General features: G+C 35.1%; 1 protein-coding gene across 4 annotated transcripts in view; it reads left to right on the top strand.

Moving 5' to 3' along the window:
* The window catches only part of ZPLD1 (zona pellucida like domain containing 1), a 94,698-nt gene extending 74,700 nt beyond the window's left edge, over window positions 1-19,998 (top strand). For all 4 annotated transcript variants that reach the window (XM_017005703.1, XM_017005704.1, NM_001329788.2 and 1 more), the window contains 6 exons: window positions 2,438-2,535; window positions 4,328-4,408; window positions 9,121-9,292; window positions 10,551-10,659; window positions 17,169-17,198; window positions 17,600-19,998. In XM_017005703.1, coding sequence (XP_016861192.1) covers window positions 2,438-2,535; window positions 4,328-4,408; window positions 9,121-9,292; window positions 10,551-10,659; window positions 17,169-17,198; window positions 17,600-17,775 — 666 coding nt within the window. In that variant the 3' untranslated portion in view covers window positions 17,776-19,998. The remainder of the gene's footprint in view (window positions 1-2,437; window positions 2,536-4,327; window positions 4,409-9,120; window positions 9,293-10,550; window positions 10,660-17,168; window positions 17,199-17,599) is intronic.
* Window positions 19,999-20,651: the final 653 nt, after the last annotated feature.

Here is a 20,651-nt window from a genome sequence, read left to right on the forward strand (position 1 = left end):
TTATTAACCAAAGTCCATAGTTGACATTTCTTTTATGTTTAGGTTACTCTTCCTCTTGTACATTCTATGGGTTTTGACAAATATAAAGTGGCATTTGCTCATCATTGCTGTATAATACAGAAGAGTTTCAATGCCTCAAACTAAAAATTTTTTAACACAGTGTCATCATAGTATTTTGCCATTTTACAGGATTTTTAAAAATTAGTAATTTACCCTAGAAAAAATTTTGATATACTTTCATTAGTTGATCCAAAATCATACTTATTATTTTTGAAATATTAACATGTAGCTAGCCAGATGTAATTTTATTGTAGCATTCCAAATAAAATATTATAATCTTTTGAAGCCATTAATTCCTATTTCACATGGAATGTTTTTTATTTCTAACCCTTGAGGATAATGAAATTTTATATTACATCCCAACTACTTTCATTTTCTGATTTGTTATTTGGAGAGGAAAAGTTGCACTCAGTTCGATGTAGCACAATAGTTTATTTTTATGTGCTCTGGGATTCAGTAAGTATACTGAGGGGAAATTATATTTAGAAAACCAATGACTTCTATCAGCTATGTGATTTTCATATATGCAGATTACCAGTTGAACTGTGGCTTTATTTTGTGCAATATAAATATGTCAGTTTTGTTCATTGTGGAAATGGAAAGTAAGGATGCCTTTGTGTATTGGAATTCTACCTAAATGTTAGATTCTTCTGAGAGTGTGGAGAGTCAGCAAATATTAAATAAGGTTATTATAATTATGAACATTTTTTAAATGTTGGAGAAAAATTAAAATGGATATAATTGATTTTAGGGACAATATATTACTAATGAGTAAAAGCCACCATACAAATTAAAGTCAGAAAATTACCTCTTAGAAGCAATTCCAGTAGGAAAAAATTGATGATTCATAATTAAATCACAGGTGGATCATATGTCATTTGCAAAATGACTCAGCAATATAATGTTGTAAAGAAAGTAAGCATTCTTCTGCACAATAATGATGCAAATATAAGATGAAAGGGCTGTATAGTTAATGAAGTGTAGATTATTTGGAGAAGTTGGAAAAGGGAGCCTGAAAGATAATCACATAAAAATACTACCTATCAGACATGGTTAGAGGAGCTAATCATTTATCACCAAAATATAGAAAACAAAAGACTGAAGAGTATCAGTTTTTAAGTATATCTCTTATATATTTGGCTTTATTTGGCAATAAAATGTTTCGTATTAACTTTTTTTCCAAAAATGAAGCATCCCAACTATTACTGTCTTAAATTATAAAATTCAAAATATTTTGCTTTCTTCCAAGCCTTCTAAAGATATTATGGTTGATATGTTGTCTTTCCCAATGATTTTAAGATTTTATAATGAACATTAAAACTTTTCTGCCAAACAGCAATGTCTTCAGAATTACTAAGTTTAGGGAAACAATTGGCCTCTGTTAAATGATGTGACTGCTTAAATTTGGAGGGTTTTTTTGGTTTGTTTTTTGCACTCTATTTTTTCTGGTTTTCTTCATTATCAAATTATACCTGCTACTTCTTAATTTCTAATCCGATGCTTTAATCTACTGTGGATTTGAGAATGATACAAATAAGCTCTCTAGAACTGGTCCAAAATAAGGGTAGAAAAGTAAAAATGAAGTCCTGAGATACCCTTCTATAAGTGACCTCTAAAGAATTTGTGCAGGAACCATATGGCATGTATTTTAGCAGCTTGGAGTCTGTGTTTGTCTCAAAAGCTGAATCTTGCCCTATAAAAAATGTAATGAGTAAATGTCTCATTTTGGTTTTCTGTGTATTATTATTTAAAGCTTGCATCTTGAAGATATTGATACATTCTAGAAATTTGGTTCTCCTGTAGTTTCTTCTATTCTCCCTAGAAGAAAATTTCTATTCTTCTGTGACTTTAAAATGGTCTTACTTTGGTTTTCAATTAAACTTTAACAATTTCAATTTGCCAGGTAAGTGATTTTTGGTAAATAAAATATTATCAGAAGTATAAGAACTACAGTGCCTACAGTAAAGGGCTTAAATTTAAACAGATATAATTTAAATAAACTCAATATTAGTCTCTAATATAATCAAATAAATGGAACATTAATTTAAGTAAACTAAATATTGACCATTGAATATTAACCAAACTGAATATTAACTAGTGACCACTGAATATAATTTAGATACAGTGAACATTAGCCACCATATATGGTAAACTATGGAAACAAAAAGATTCACACATGGAATCAATTTGTTACATGGATATGGCTTAATAACAGTTCTGCCAAGAAACCAGAGGGTCACGTAAATCCTTTTTGGATTGATTCTGTAGGTTTATGTTGATTTACTTTCTTTTTTCTCTCTCTAATATTGTTGTTTTAAGTAGTAAGTGTGCTGTTGTTGGGGAGGTAATAATAGATTTTTTATTGTTTCATCATTAGGATTCAACCTACAACCAGCAGTTAATTATCCCCAGTATAGGATTACCTTTGAAAACCAAAGTATTTGCAGCTGTCCAAGCCACTAATTTGGATGGCAGGTAATTTCAAACTCTTGTCTTTTTTAGGTTAAAACTCTTTGACTGCCTAAATCCTCATGAGTCATAAAGTTGGGCCATTCATTTTTAAATTCAGTTTGAAAATATTATCATTGCCACACCATTTAGGCATGCTACTAAAAAGAAATAACAGATTACAAAGTTTAAGAGGTTACACTCATGTTCTGTCATTAATTGGAGAATAACAAGTCTTCCCATAAAGAAGGGGGGTGGTTCTTGGAACGGGGCATGGGAAGATCTGGGATGCCGAAATGTTGTATCTCTTCATCAGAAAGATGATTAACCAAATGTAGTCATTCTGTGAACACTTGATTTGCTTGCTTTTCCATATGTATGTTACTCTTCAATATGAATTTATTAAAGAATGAAAGGACTCTGCATAAGAGTGTGTCAAAATTACATAAAATGATCTCCAGAAACATCTCTATAAAAAAACTATTAAATTTCAGATGATACTTAAGAAAATTCAGAGCAATCAAACTAAAATGGAGCTCAAAAGCTGAAGCTCTAACCGTGCCCTATAAAAAAATGTAATGTGAAAATGGCCTGTTTTGGGTTGCTTATGTATTACTATTTAAACTTTGCATCCTGAAGAGATTGGTATACTCTATAAATTTAGTTCTTCTTTACCTTCTCCCTTCCTGTCCTGAAGAATATTTCTATTCTTGTATGAGTCTTTAAAATTGTCCTTTAATAATGCAGGAGTTTTTTCCATTTCATTGGCATTCGCTTCCCATGGATTAGTATTTTTTTTATAACATCGGAGTTGGAATGGACTAATGTATAAATGTGAGCAAAATCTAACCTTGTGGAGGAAGGCTGTGGATATGTATGTGCCTCATGGCTTTCTTCACCCTAACACAGTGTCTATTGTGGACTCCACAATCGCCAAACCACTGATTCTGATATACAATTTATGCTCTAAACTCCTTTGTTGTATTTGGTATTATAACATTCTCTGATTCTGTTAGAGACAGTAATATCTAGAAACAAAAAGCTATTGTTTATAGTGAACATATAAGCATCTATGTAGCTCATTTTAAAGTTTACTTCTCAGACTTTGACCATTCAGTTGTCTTGTACACAATTATTTTATGGCATTAGACTTGACTCCCCTTAATGTGAAATTGACAATTTGGTGCAGATTTTTAAACACTTTGAGTTCAGGAGAAAGTTCTTACTTTTTAAAAACTTGTATGGGTACATAGTAGGTGTATATATTTATGGGGTACTTGAGATGTTTTGATACAGGCATGCATGTGAAATAAGCAGGATGGAATAAGAGAAAGTTTTAATGAACAATAAACTTCCGCAAATAACAAGTAATAAACAATTATATTCCATGAGATAAGAAGTTTGTCAGGCAAGCGCGGTGGCTCACGCCTGTAATCCCAGCACTTTGGGAGGCCGAGGAGGGTGGATCACGAGGTCAAGAGATTGAGACCATCCTGGTTAACCCGGTGAAACCCCGTCTCTATTAAAAATACAAAAAAAAAAAAAAAAAATAGCCGGGCTTGGTGGCGGGCGCCTGTAGTCCCAGCTACTCGGGAGGCTGAGGCAGGAGAATGTCGTGAACCCAGGAGGCGGAGCTTGCAGTGAGCCGAGGTGGTGCCACTGCACTCCAGTCTGGGCAACGGAACAAGACTCCGTCTCAAAAAAAGAAAAGAAAGAAAGAAGGAAAAAGAAGTTTCTCAATATTTACTTCCCTTGTATTAGTAACTAATATCCAAAAGGAAATTCTGACTCTAGATTATGTTTGCTTACATTCTTTCAGATGGAATGTTTTAATGGATTATTGCTATACTACCCCATCAGGAAACCCAAATGATGACATTCGATATGATCTTTTCCTTAGGTAAGACTTAGCTGTCTAAGTATTATATTGATACCAATGACCCAGTTGTAGATAATTGAAATGGAATATCTAAGTCAGATAAATTATAAAGCACTATTATAGCTTTTGAATTTCAAGTTTTACATTTTGAACTTTGAGTCCTTATAAAGCTGAAAGTATAAAATTTGAGAGCAGTTATCAACACAAAATGCTGATAAGGCTATTGTTGAATCAGAGTTCTAAGTAAGTTATGTCCACCAAAGATGTTTTATTCATGTTTAGGAATATGGGAATATTTCACTGTCTTAGGAAACGCATAGTTAGGATATTATTCGCAGGAAAAGAAATGCAATAGAGGTTACTATTTATCTGCAACTAGACTGTCTCATATGTCAAAAGGAGAGTAAAATTAAAGTAATGGTCTGGATAATTTAGACCCCAAAATACTTTTGTTCATTTATCAGTATTTAGTATAAAACTATAATATAACCTACCACTCCTTTTCTTATTAGAGCCAATAACTTCATCCTCCTTCCCCAATAGACAGTGATATAGAGTGAATGTAATATATATCTGGGAAAAAAGGACATTGATCATAAAACCATTCAATCATCTCAGTTCCTTTTCAGCATTTTTTATCTGACAGCTGAACAGACTTGAGAGTCAAGCAATGTCTTCTAATCATGCTTATAAATTGCAATTGGCTCAGCTCACTGCAGCTAATTGACACATGATGGAAGTAATATAATGGGAAACCAAAAGAATACACTTTATTGGCTAATCAAGGGCAAGATGATGTTCAGAGGGTATGGTCAAACTGTTATTCTTACATATCCTATTTCTGGAAATGTTAATTTGAGCAACATTTTTGGGAAAAATTGTCAGTATGTATCAAAATACTTAAAAATTTCATATTCTTTGATTCTAGCTTTACAAATTGGGAAATATAGTTTAAAATATTTATGACATTCTGGTCTATCAGTGATATTTAAAATAGTAAAACATGGGAACAAATTATACATTCAGCAATAAGGAAATAGCTAGGTGAATTATGGACAACCAGTAAGTTGAGAGTCCATACAGGCACTACAATCATATAAAGTTATGTATTAGATAGAAAAAAATGGTTGGCTTTCTCCTACCTTCTCCCTTTCTGTCCTATTGGTATTTCTATCTTTGAAAATAATTGATTCTTTAACATTTAAAGGTATTAAAATATCAAGGAAAAGGAACCTAATATATAATTGTGTATATAATGAACTTCATTTATATAACAGAAAAGACTGTAAAGAGAAACAGCAAAAGGCTCACAGTGGTTTTTTATGCTTGGTAGGGTTATGGATTTTTTTTGACATTTCTCTTATTTTCCCAAACTTCTATAATCCTCATATATTGATAATCTGGAATATGATCATCAGACTTCTAGTGTGAATATAGAAGCAGCTTAGTTCTGAATCTTTTCAGTTTTCTTATTGGAAACCATTCAGAGTGAAATGCATAACTAAAGAAAAAAAATTTCCCAAATGTCCTTTTTTGTGAATCTAGGAGGAAAAGAAAACCTAGAAATTCTAAAGTAAATGCTAGTGTTGGTGAAAACAGTTAAGATCAAGAGAAAATGTTGTAAAAAGCAGTGTAGAAGAGGTGGTAAGGAAGGCAAGGAAGAAAAGTGGGTGCTGAGGGGGTCTTAAGGGAGTCAGCTCCCAGAAGCAGCTGGAGAAATACACACCTAGAAGGAAAGGGCACTACTTTGAATGGAAACTGCTATCCCCAGGGCTGGGGAATCTGAAGAAAAAACAGTAGAGAATGCTCAGAGCCTCAGAAGTGGCAGATCTCATAAAGTACCAGGAAAAGTATACCTTCTAAAGGTAAAGGAATCGCCTGGGAAGGCAGGGGCTCTGTCCTTGGTGGCAAGGCTGGTGAATAAACCTCAGGAACCCAGGGCTGATGGTAGAACCCTGTGAATATCTTTTAAGTTCAGTCAGCTGCACAGTTCTGCTATATTCAAAGAAAGTTGTTATTGAAAAACAGAGGAGGGAGCCCTTGAGTTGGGGAAACCCTTAAGGAAGGTATTTACCATTCCACATTGCCTTAGGGGTCCTAAAAATTTTAGGTTTAGGGAAATCCAACTCTTTCAAACTTGAATGATAAACAGATGCAGGTATTTCTTGCAGTGTTCCAATATTCTACAGGAAAAATATCGAAAATGGCAGAAAAGAAAATTTAAAGGTGAATTAAACTCACCAGAAAAATGCTGCCATGGAATATATAATATATACATTCCCACATTAATTTTTAAAAAGCAAAAAGCATCATGGTTATGAAGATAGAATTATGAGAACTTAGGTAAGTAAGGATAGGACAGTAAAAGCCATGGCTATGGAAATGTGTAAAGGAAACTGGGATAAGTGAAAATAAACAGAAATACAAAAAAATGTGTGAGAGGAAGGGACATGTAATTAGAAGGCATTCAAAGGAGTGCAGATCACAGCAGAAACAGTGTGGGACATGAAAGATAAGTATAAGAAATACAAATAAAAATAAACAAATATGAAGGAAAATAAAAAGAGGATTAAGTAAGAAAGATAGAAATAAAAAGGTGAGAAAGGGAATTCGATATATGTATAATATGCATAATTAGAATTGTCCCCCCAAAAGCCAAAATAATAGAACACATTGTTTAAAAATATAATCCAGGAACACTTTCCTAAATTAAAAAAAAATCTTACATTGATATAATGAAATGATGCCCTGGATGAAATTGAAGATTTCATTAAGTGGAAACCAGGGGAAATATAAAAAGACATAGAAATAAAATTTAAAAATTAGAATTTTACCTCTTACAAAACTTACTTCTGGTGGCCAACAAGTAAGTAAGGAAGTAAGGATACAGAAAATCTAAACGACATACGCAATAAGCTATATACAGAGAGACAGCAATTTATAACGATATCAAAAACCAGAAAGTCCTCACCACTTGGAAGTTGTAAAACCCATAAATAAGACTTGTATCAAAAATGAAAATATGAACCAATGTTTTGGAAGAAGTTAAGAAAAAGTTGGTTCCTTGAAAAAATACATTAATAGAGAATCACAAGCTAATCACGTCAAGAAAAAAAGGGATAAATGACAAATACAAAAAGATAAGCCGGGAATCAACATGGAAATGAGCAGAGTATGGTTCTATCAGATATCACAATCAATAAAATGTCACAATTATTAAAGGAATGTGATATTATGCAAAGCTAGACACATAGACAAAAGTCACAGAACAGTAAACTGAGAAATAGATCCCCAAACATATGGGAATTTAGTGTAAGATAGAGTGTGGTACCACAAATCAGTGGGATAAGTAGATTTTTTAAAACAGTGTTGGACATGGATAACAGTAAGATAAAAAATAGTATTGGACCTATACTTCACTCAATATACCATAATAAAACCTAAATAGATTATTAATTTAAAGGTAAAAACTACAACTTTAAAACTGGTAGAATAAAACAAGAGAAATACCTTTAAAACTTTGGAGTAAGGAAACTGGCTTCAGTGTAAATACTAGAAGCCACAAAATAACATATTGAAAATTTAACTACGTAAGAATAAAACTGTACACACACACACACACACACACACACACACACACACACACGGAATGTCCAAAGCCAAATAACAAAGGGAAACAATTTGCAACTTATATAACAACCAGTAACCACTTTTCTTAATACATAAAAGAACTCATAAGAATCAGAAAGAAAATGGCCAAGAACACAACAGAATTGATCAAAAGACACAAACCATTTTCAGATAAAGAAATGCAAATGACTATAAGGTATGTGAAGATACACAAACTCATTAATTATAAGAAAATACAAGTTAAAATTATAGGGTGATAGTTCATTTTTACTCTCAAATAGGGAATAATAAAAAATTTGATCCATACATTTCGCTGATGTAGCTCTGGAGAAGTAAGCATTGTTTTCATATATTGCTTGTGAAGTCCAAAATTGAATAATATTTATATAGGGCAAAGTGACAATATCTATTAAATGATTATATGGATGTATTCTGTAGTTAATCCTGTACATGTTCAACATGATATATTGTAAGATTATTCATTATTAGTTTTTAAAAAGCAAAAGATTCAAAAACAATGCATGTACATAAATAGGAAACTGATTAAATAAACTCTGAAACATGTCCATGATGAAATACTATACAGCTGTGGAAAAAAATGAGGAAGCTCTCTAAATATTGATACGGAAAGATCTCTAACACTGCTAAATCTTTAAAAGGCGAGGTACCACATAGTGTAGACAATATGCTATCATTTGTTTAAGGAGGGAGGACAATAAGAATACATTGCTTCTGTTTCTATTTTCATATACCCTGGGAATGATGTGAAAATAAATGAAAATAAATGAGAATGAAAATAAGTGAGATCACCTCTGGCAGGTTTCTATGTATTTTAAATTATTTGGATTTTTGAACTACATGAAAGTATAATTCTTCTAACTATTAATGCAATCAGAAACTGATCTGTTTAAATTTTGTGATCCAGGTTTTATTGTCATATCTGTTGAATTAGCTTATGCTATGATTAAATATCTGTAACGTGGCATGGTTCTGTTAGCTCTTAATGTAATGGCGGAGTCTTAATACGGTAGAAATTAATTTACAAGTCCCAGTAGGTTGGTACTTTCCAGTGATGTCCTGTTTTCACGTTCCCTAAAATTTAGCTGTGACAAGGACCCTCAGACCACCGTCATTGAGAATGGCCGAAGCCAGCGGGGCCGGTTTTCTTTTGAAGTGTTCCGATTTGTGAAACACAAGAATCAGAAAATGTCCACTGTCTTCTTGCACTGCGTTACCAAGCTCTGCAGAGCAGATGACTGCCCCTTCCTTATGCCGGTATGTTTTTAAGGAACTTCATTTTAAGTTGTTGAATTGATCTAAGCTGAAAGGTTATCAAATGTCAGAAACTAAGTTCTGCATAGAAAGTGGATATGTGTTAGATCAAATAGTTTGAAGTAGGATTTATTCATTTGTCTAGTAAAGATCTGCTAAATATCCTACTTTGTGCCAAGCATTATACCGAGGATACAGAGATGAGGTGTGCACAAATTCTGAATTTAATTAGATTATTCTTTAGGATCATTAGCTAGTCACAGAAGAAATCAAGACAAAAATCTTATGGTGCAAAGGCAGACAAATATATGGGTTGTAGTAACAGGCAGTATTCACCATTGTGAGAGAGATGAAGCAGGAGAGGTTGAGAGGATTGTTAGAGATGAACTCCAGCTGTTACTTCGAAGAGGACTGAACCCCAGAGAACCAAAATCAAGAGTGTGAGAGACATTGCTGGCCAAACGATGGTCAAAGACAGAGACACATAAATTAGTGTGATCAGAGAGCTTCTAGTTCTTCAGTAGGGTTGTAGAGCAGAGTAGAGATGATTGGAAAACCCAGGGAGTGGACTGGGCTGGTGCTGGAAAGGTAGATTGTGGCCAGATGGTCGGGAAATCACTGAGCTTAAAAGTTAAAAGCAATGAAAGGTGTGCATCTGTATTGCATACAGCCACCATTAAAATAAAGATCCATTTAAAGTAGTGAATAAAAAAAATTCTATTCTGACCGGCTCTCTAGGGCCACATCATTATTAACCTGAGAAAAATGCATGCCCTTTTTTAATTTGAAATACCATTAATATGTTTATATTTATGTTCAATTTATGCATAAATGGGAAGCTATTTCTTCATACTCATTGATCCCTTTGGACTAATAAGCTATGACAGATGGGGGTAAATGGAGAGTCCACATTACCTTGAGTCCATGCTGACCAACATTTCCGGGAAGGATTTATTAAAGGCTTGAGAGAAATAAAAGTAGAAAAGTTTGATAAACACAGCACTTTTTCAAGAGAGCCATTGAGCTATGTAAATTAATGAGGCAGTGCACAATTACAGCGGGAGGAAATAAGAAATGTGGCCCAAGCCAGGGTAAGAAACACTGTAGCAGTTACATGCAAAGTAATTAAATAAATGCACGGAAGGAAATGAATAAAATTAAACATGTGGTATCTCTTCCAAAAGAATCTGCTTTCCAAATGGCCATAAAGAAACAATTCTGCGCCGGTGTGGAATTTCATTTGTTTTCATTAACACCTCAGATTTGCAGCCACAGAGAAAGGAGAGATGCTGGGAGGAGGACGACTTGGAGCCCCCAGAGCTCTTCTGGCAGCGCGGTGCTCTCTGCTGGTCCCATCATTACTCGGAGTGGTAAGTGTGCTCCTCCTTCTGTATGTAGTAATAGACGGTTCCAAAATGCCTCGTTACTTGGCTTCTAACGAGAACTCAAAGTGGTTCCTAAACAGCACTAATTAATTGTGAGACAAGATAAACTACTAAGCAACTTTAATTTCACAGTAGTTTCCCTGTTTACTCAACTTTCACACAAAGGGCAATATTGTCTTTACTACGTTTCCTGTTTTCACACACACATACACACACACACACACACACACGCACACACGAGTAGGCCATGCTGGACCTGTTTTATTTATTTATTTATTTGAGACGGAGTGTCTCTCTGTTGTCCAGGCTGGGGTGCAGTGGTGTGATCTCGGCTCACTGCAACCTCCGCCTCCCGGGTTCAAGAGATTCTCCTGCCTCAGCCTCCAGGGTAGCTGAGATTACAGGCGCCTGCCACCATACCTGGCTAATTTTTGTATTTTTAGTAGAGATGGGGTTTCACCATGTTGCTCAGGCTGGTCTCGAACTCCTGACCTCATAATCCACCCACCTTGGCCTCCCAAAGTGCTGGGATTACAGGCGTGATCCCAGCTCATGCTGGACGTGTGTATCCGCTTGGATACCCTGTGGATCCGCTTCACCGTCCTCTGCCCTGCTGTCGCCCATGACTACTAATTTGAGTGCGCTGCAGCCTCTAGCTCCCTTGCCCTCTAGTTTCTGGTTGGGCTTGACCAATAGGTGGTGCTGTAAGCAGATGGGAGGGCACAGAAATTGTGGCGTCCACAGGGCTCCTCCCAGACAATTCTCTCCCTAGAACTACTCTGAAAACCCTCTCCTTATCCCTTAACTCTACTCTCTCTTGTGAATTCTCCACGTCTTTATAAATAGCCTATTAAACACTCCGTACATGGCCCAGTTTGAGTACCATTTGTTTCCTTTCAGAATTCTGCATATTACATACTCTCATCTACTGCATTCATTTGTGCTCATGAATTCATATAATCTAATGGACACAACTATTTATAACTCTTTATAAACATATCCTCATGTATACAAATATATGTGCATACATGTACCTACACACATACACACACACAATGTAAAGGGATATAGATTTTGTAGATTTAAGTCAGTGTGAACCCAGAGACTTTCAGAGTCCATTGGATAAAACAGAGATGTGGCATAAAAAACTCTGAAACTAAGGCCGGAAAAACTGGTTCTAGGTTTAGCTTTTGTTCTAACATGCTATGCGACTAGAGGCTTTATTTCATTTCTTTGGGAAAATGTTTCTTCATTTTTAAAGTAAAAGTTTTTAACAAGTTTATAAAGTTTTAAGATATTTCTTCATTTTTAAAATAAAAGTTTTAAGATTTTTTCTAACACTGTAGTTCTAAATTTCCCCCCAAAAAAGAGAATAATTCTGATTTGGACTATGTGCTAATAATGTTTTCTTCATTTTATATTAGCCTTAATGCTGTTATTATGTTTCAGTTACATTTTCGGTATCTTTTCTCCATGCTGCCCATCCCACAGTCAAAAGAAAGTTTTGCCTGAAATAGGCAAATCAGCAAAAAGTGGTTTTGGCCCAAAAAATTCAGACAATTGCTTTAATTACTTTCCTCCCTGTGTTTGTGTAGACCTAACATTATTTAAAAACAAACTAATAGGCCCTTTCAATAATGCAGAAATATATTAAATGTGAAATTTCAAACTTAGCCCATACTCCCTGAAGATTTTTGGTATGTGCTTTGACCGGCTTAAAAATGACTGGTTTGGCTGGGCGCGGTGGCTCACGCCTGTAATCCCAGCACTTTGGGAGGCTGAGGGGGGTGGATAACCTGAGGTCAGGAGTTCAAGACCAGCCTGGCCAACATGGTGAAAACCCGTCTCTACTAAAAATACAGAAATTAGCCAGGTGTGGTGGCATATGCCTGTAATCACAGCTACTTGGGAGGCTGAGGCAGGAGAATTGCTTGAGCCAGGGAGGCAGAGGTTGCAGTGAACCGAGATTGTGCCACTGCACTCCAGCCTGGCTGACAGAGTGAGACTCTGTCTCAAAAAAAAAAAAAAAAAGACTGGTTTGTAGCTTGTGAAAGTTCCATTTTTGATCTCTATCTAGCTTTCAGAAATGGCTCATAGAATTACATTGAATGGAAACTCAGTTCTTGTTGCCAAATAATTAGGATTGCTTTTGGGTAGGCACAATAAAAGAGATTTTTATTTCCATGGAGCATATCTAGAGTCAGTTTGCTATAAGAAAAGAACTTTTAAAGTGACATTTCTTCTGTTCATCTTGGGTAGATGGCTTTTCCTCCTTAATTACCTTCTTACTTCCTTCTTGCCTATGCAAAACTAAGTATTACAAATTTTAAATAATTTTTTAGCTGTATTCCTCCATTCTCATGCTGCTAATAAAGACACACCTGAGACTGTGTAATTTATAAAGAAAAAGAGATTTAATGGACTCACAGTTTCACATGGGTGGGGAGGCCTCACAATCATGGCAGAAGGCAAAGGAAGAGCAAAGTCGTATCTTAAATGGTGGCAGGCAAGAGGGCATGTGCAGAGGAATCGCCCTTTATAAAACCATGAGATCTTGTGAGATTTATTCACTATTATGAGAACAGCATGGGAAAAAAACCCATCCCCATGATTCAATTACCTCCCACAACATGTGGGTATTATGGAAGCTATAATTCAAGATGAGATTTGGGTGGGGACGCAAACCGTATCGTTAGTGTAAAATAATCTTTAAATATACAAAAAAAATTCTAAGACCCCCGAAATCCCAGTAAAGATAAATAAGTAGAAGTCTCTAATTCTAACATAAGTAACCAGCTCTCCAGGTTTATAGGTTTCATCCATCCCACATCCAGTTGCCCAAAATATCTATGTTAACACCACAAAGAGCTATCACAATGCCTCTGATGTCATGCCTGGATTTCTTTCCAATTTTCAACCAGTTTCCACCTCAAGAATGTCACTTATTGCCCAACATGCTAGAGTTTTCTCAGGGTCACCTCAGGTTTCTCCACCAGCAGAGCCCCCAGAGGAGCACACTCATGCTTTCAGGGTCCCCTTGAATCCTCTCTCATTCTCTCTCGAATTATTTTTAAATAATTTTGATAAATACAATTTTGGCGTGGTCTTCTTTGATCATCATGGTGGTCTCACTGCCTAAAGGAACATATACATATAAAGATGTTTACATTGTAATACTATGATATCCATGAAAATATATATTTTTAAAAATTCCACATGAACACAGAACTCAGAACTCAAGCCATATCCATCCACATGCAAATCCTGTGCAAACTTCATGTTCAACTTCATGACCAGAACTACCTTTTTTCCTTAGTTTCACTTTATTTTTACCTTAGGTCAGCTAGAATTTATCTCTTCAGGTCCTGTGGCCAATTTTATATAGATAAATCCAATTTCAGGCTTGATTTGCTCTCTTCAAAGCTCTCTGATGCTTGGAAGTTTTGCTCTATTTGCTCATTGAACCACTCCTTTTCCCTAGACATCTAGCTTAGGTAGAGTTCAGTAAGTTGTTAAACCTGAGAACTCCTGTTTTGTTTTGCTTTTTAATGAAATCAAATCCATTCTGGATATTTTTTACCCAACATAGTTAATAGTTTTGTTACTTGACTTAGGAAAATCTTCACACCCTCATAATGCAACCCCTCAAGAAAAATTTCCTGAAGTGTTCTTATTTAAAACTTCAAAATGCTGAAAGTGCTTGGATAGGGAAATGCTAATCAAAGAGTACAATTCTGGAAATCTAAAGGCACCAACACCAGAAAACAATACCTAATTGTTTTGTTTACTTAAATTCCTGTGGAGAAACCCAAGCCGTATTCTTGTTCGATTAGAATTGCTGAGTTTTATGAGTAGTTAATAATTCATTTGAGCATACTTGTTTGTCCCTTCTTGGGACTGGCACTCGTCTAGGAACTGGGAGTATAGTAGAGAACAGGCCACAGACTTTGTCCTCAGGGATCTTAGAGTTCAGAGGTAGAAACAGACTATGAACGAACGTAACACTGTGAAAAGTAAAAAGGTCGGTGCTTATTAATTTGAGATGTGTGGTCCATTTTACTACATAGGTTATTAAAGTTTTTTAAAAAAAAAACTTTTCTAGTACTAAGAGAAAAAAATTATTCTGCATGTATCTTTGGTGGTCATTTTTAAAATTATTATTTCAACTACTTACATGAGAAAGCAGAGAATGACAATTTGTCTGCCACTTCTGGCTTTCAAATGGCTGTGGCATTGCTGCTATCACCTTTCTCCTATAGGCTTTCAAATAGATAAATATACTCTTGGAGAGCCCCAAAAGTTTGGTATTCCAATCAGTTCTAATTCCAGAAGGCTTCAGGTGTTTCTTTTAGCATATATGTACATGTCAAGACCAAGTGGGTTCAAGGAATAAAAAAGTGTGGTGGGATAAAAGTCTCCTGAAAAAATGTCTACCTTCCCTTTCAAGGCTATACAGTGCTTTGATTTTTTTTGTTTGTTTGTTTTCTTTGCAATAATACAAAAATTGGAGGCTACCAGAAATAGCAACTAGATAAAGCAATTCTCTCTACCTTTATTCACTGTCAAATACAATTCCAAATAGTATTCAAATATCACAGGTTTCGATTTCAACCACCTGCCAAAGGTAGTATGCTTTCATTTTTTCAGAGTCCTGGAACCTGGATTTTGTCGTTCCAGTCTTATTTGGAAAAGGGTGTGTCTTTTCCCCACACACGGAGATTTTTGTCCACAGCGAAGTCCTCATTAATGACAACTGAGATACTGTTTCTATGGAAGTGTTGGTGGTAATACGGGGAGTGCAGGGGACAGTCTGACTTTTGTTAACCTTAGGATGCAGAAAATAGCAGAAAGGGCATCTAGTCATAGCACTCTTGTCTTATTTGAAACACTTATTAGAAAGGAACTTTCTATTTTTTAGTTGAAATATTTTAAAGCAATTAAGTGTGATTTCTAAAAAAAAGAATAGCTTTCAAAAATAAATTTTTAGCATTATATATTCTCCTCCTATGTTCCAGTGAGGCAGCTCATCTTGGGAAAAGAGCACATGGATATTTTGGAAGAATTGATCATAGTCCATTCATCCCACCTGTTTCCATGAGAAGGAAGTGTTATTATAAAGTAGTGTTGGTTAGAGGTTAGGATTTTTCTGAATGTTGTATAATAAAAATGTGTGTTATTTTTCTTTTTGTCCTATAGCGATGCATTGCACCATTCTAAAGAACCCTATGAATGAGTGCTGTATTAATTTTGAGCATTGTACTTCAGAATCAGACAGCAGAACCATCGTTTCTGCCAAGATTCATGTGTCTGAAAAAAAATGGTGTCAGATATTTTATAAATATCTCACCAGGTTCTCCCATTACTTGCTTAAAATACTAATCCTAGAGATTCATAGCTTGAGATATTCATCTTCATAACCAGAAATATTTTTCATATTGGTCAGTTTATATTATTTTAGAAAAAGGCCTCTGAAACTGAGCTTTGTTTTAAGCACATGTTTACTCTGTCATAAAGGCTGTGACAGATGGAAATTTCTTTATCTGTAAAATGGGGGTAGCAATAATATCCAAACCATATGGCTTCTGTGAGGATGAAATGTGATAATATATGAAACAGCAGTTTATGAACTATGTGGTTTTATACACATATTGATTGTAATAATATTTATATTCCAGAAATAAACAGTCAATTGCACGCATTATATGGTTCAAATAACAAACACAAATATTAAAACACAAATATGAAATTACTCTTATTTCAAATATGAAATATGAGCTCGTACAAGCTCCAGGGTTGATAGCAACATGATGACAAATTGGACAACAAAAATTGGGAAATCAAGTAATATGTTTATCGCATCTATTATTGTGTTTGGCAGGGAAAAGTCAAAAATCAACAGCTTCAATCTTTTACTTAACAGATGCAAATAAAACTACAACTCAGGCTCAGGAGTCATGTTTTCCTTTCATATAGTTATTAAGTGTAAATTTATCTTCTTGGAACTTAAAATGATGTGTTTGCAGATTACGTTGGGCAAATTGGCAATACTTAAAATAGAGTGGCACTAAATAATGAATATTCCGTATAACAGAATAACAAATAGCAGGTTATAGGGCCATAAAAAATGTAATAGCTGTTAACGATTACTGCCCCCACCAGCCTGACTGGAGAGCTAATGATGAAACAAAGTTGTCAGGCAAGAAAACAGCACACTGTATATTTTTTTCTATTACATTTGTATACCTAGGGCAGGGGTAGGATGTGGGCTTGGGGAATAGAAAGATGATGAAATCCAGGACATATGAAACAGGGCATGGACAAGCAGAATGGTTTAGGGGGACTTTCATTTTTGCCTTACTCAAGGAGATTATGGGTGGACGTAAGAGGAGATAACAGGTAAAAATGTAGGTACAATGTAATTATTAATCAGAATAAACAAAGGTAAATATTTGGAGAGATGATGTCACTTCTCTTTTTCTGTTTTTTCCCCTCAGATGAGACTCCAACCAACAATTCGCAACTTGGTAAGATAATTAACATATTTTGCAATGTTTTTTACATTTTTGGTGATCAGTTACAAAGCTGTAATCATCTAAGTGTAATGAGCTTGAGTTTTCCAAGTTTGGTCCATTTTAGATAACAGTTCACTGAGGGTTTTCAAACTCATATGTGATCTATTGGTCAATTTTTATAGCATTTGATAGCTTTTTGGTATTTTTGATTTTGGCTGCCCATGGGCAGCCTCTAAACCATACAATCCTTTGGTATTGGGTTGAATTACAGTCAAATAGATTGTAACACAATTCAGTGCCATGCTGCTATTCTATGAGATGCTGATGAAAGATGTTTTGCAGGTAAAATTGGGTCAAGGTGAGATAAATATTATATGGGGCCTTTACAACCGGGTGTGTTTTATTATTTGCAGGTTCTCCAAGTATGCCTCCCTTCCAGCTGAACGCCATCACCAGCGCACTGATATCAGGAATGGTCATTCTGGGAGTTACGAGCTTTTCTCTTCTTCTGTGCTCACTGGCCCTTCTGCACAGGAAGGGACCCACAAGTTTAGTGTTGAATGGCATAAGAAACCCAGTCTTTGACTGACTATAACAGATTCCTGCTCTCTGGAGAAGGCTTCACTGACTAAACTATGTGTGACTGCAGTCAGTGTTCCGTCTGAATTTCATGTCAGTCCACATTCAATATTTGTAGGTTTGATAAATTTCACAGTATAGCTTGTCAGCATAATGATAGTGAAAGAAGTTTATTATATTGCTATTGTCACTTATGTACGTGGCGAGCCGTATTTTTATGCCACCAGTGAATATATTGACAATAAGTGAAAAATATTCAGGACTTAGGGCTTACAGGATCAGTAATATTTCATTTTATTTCAGTTTTCTTTTGATTGTTGGTTAAAAGATAAAAGGTGGGAGTAGACAAAAAATGAAATGTGTTGCATTTCCCCCTTAAGCATTAATGGCATTTAGATTTGCACACGTGGTCCTAGAATAAATGTTGCTTTTTGTTTTAATCCGGATATTCCCAGCTTCAGGATGTGTTTTAATAGGACTGGCCAATTTGGATACCTGAGATTTAACTACTCATTCTATGACCTCCTGTGTTTTTGGCCGATTTTCATGTCTGACCATATTCATTTTAAAAGAAACTCTTGGGACATATCTCTTAACCTGGGGCACCCTTTTGTGTAGAAGATAGTGAAAATAGTTGTTAGCTTCCAAGGCTACTGCTAAGTGGCCCTAGATCATTATTCATTAGAATAGGAATGGCTGCGATCAGTTTTCTTCTTCTGGTTCAGGTGAGAACACCAGCACATGTTAACTCTCCTCCCAGGTAAACAGTTCAGCTGCTGTTGCAGCTGTGCTTCCAGCAGTGAGGTAACTATGCAAAGATTATTTTTAATTCAAGAATCATCACATGTGAAAACAAGCTGTAGTTGTGAAAAGAGTTCCTAGAAGGGTTTTTAACAATTTAGATTCCCTTTTTCCTAAAACAAAAAGGAAACTTAGGTTAAGTGTAGTTTGCAGAACATTGTTGGAATCTACATAAAAAGATATTCCTTCCCCCATATTTTCGATGCCAGGCAATAATCAGGAGAGGGTTTCTTTTTAAGGTATCTTCTTGTAGGTGTCATAATTGCCATGAATAAACAATATTTTCCTCTAACAGTAAACTGCAAGAAGCTTCTGATCCTTTATCAGTTTTGCAAAAAAGCAAGCTTTAAGCAGCCCATGTTCTTACAAAAAAAATCAACATTCTCTTTGTTTAAGCTACCTATGCACTGAACAAACAAAACAATTTAATAGCCAACACCAAAACCCAGCATGTGAAGTTACTAGAATTGCCATGTTAACTATAAGCAATTGCTGTAATCACTAATTTCTATTCAACATTTGTGACCCATTAGTCCGGACTTAATTTACTATACTGCATGCAAATCATCAAGCAATTGCTTCAAAGGAAATGTCTACAATGTGAGTTAATAATTAAATCAATCCTCAAGTTGAAAAACACTTTTTCTCCAATTTGCCTGAATATTTCAGGAGGAAGTGTTTATATTATAATAATTAGCTATATAATTGCATCAACTTTTTATTTCAAGGTATAGTTGCCAAGTAAAGTGGGATCTGGAAAGTCTCTGGATAATTTCTTTACAAAAAAAGTTTAAATCACATAAAAAGCCAATCTACTCTTCCCTGTGTTACTTTAAAATAACTTTGAAGTGACTATTCTGAGCTTTATCTGTGTTAACATGATTAACTGACCATACTACTAATGTGACCCTGTATATACATGGATAGTATTGAAATATGCTGGTAAATCTATTTCAGATACTTTAAGTGAATTGCCATTGATTCTACGATTAAGTTCTGTGAATAGGACATTATATCATTTAAGCTGTTTTGTCAATTTGATTTTTATGCTTTTGGAACGGCTGCTGTTTCAGCTGTTGGCCTTTTCAATTCTATACTCCATTTTATAGAATTGAATAATGGACACATGTCACTTGGGAAGCAACGTAAGTATCACATTATTTTTTGCCACCCTTTCATCATAAATGGAAGAATCAGAGTTATAATGAGATAAACCAGGTCTGTTTTTTACAACTTTGTTCTTATAAATCTGCAGTTATATGGAGTATTTAGTTATACTGAATTTTACAGTTATTATAGTGTGAAAAACCTTACAAAATATGTGCAAATGTTTCTTCAGTTTTAATACCTCAAACTGTTTTTTGCACTTCAGGGGTAAGGTCTGATGACATGTAAAAGATGATCGTTTAATAAAATAATTGTTTAAAATGTTTACCTGTTTTGTTTTTTTTTTAATTTTCTCCTTCCTGCTCTCAACATCCTATTCTTACTTTCACAAATACAGAGGGTCTCCAACTTATGATGGTTACATTTACAATTTTTGACTTTAAGATGGGTTTATCAGGCCATTAAATGCATTGTTGACCTGTGATTTTTTTTATTTATGATAAGTTTTTTGAGACATAACACCATTGGAAATTGAGGAGCATCTGTATTGAGAAAGATTTAGTCTAAAATAAGCTGCCTAATGCAACAGGGGTCAGTGATCTCTGTAAGTAGATGAAGTCTGCCCTCTCAATACTGAGCCCTGTGTTGGGAGACACATTCTTGATATCAGCTAAAGGTAAGGAAGTACATTTTTCTTTGAGCTTGAGCTCTAACTAAAATGGAACTTACAATTTTAAAAACTTTGGTAGGGACAGAAAAAAACTGGAAAGACAAGGAACTTGGCTTCTGCCCGGAATTTCACAGTCTCTCTTAAGTGCCAGCAGGATCTGGCTGTCCTCCTTTGTCTTGGGGGAGGGTTGGTAGGAAAGTGACACAGTGTTGAGGCAAAATCCTTTTCCTGACCCAGAGATAATCCAATCTCACAAAACTGGGCACTACCCTGAACCCTAAGTATTGACAATTAGCTTTGGGGGCGTC

The sequence above is a fragment of the Homo sapiens genome, chromosome 3 (genome assembly GCF_000001405.40).
Source record: "Homo sapiens chromosome 3, GRCh38.p14 Primary Assembly".
Lineage (NCBI taxonomy): Eukaryota > Metazoa > Chordata > Mammalia > Primates > Hominidae > Homo > Homo sapiens.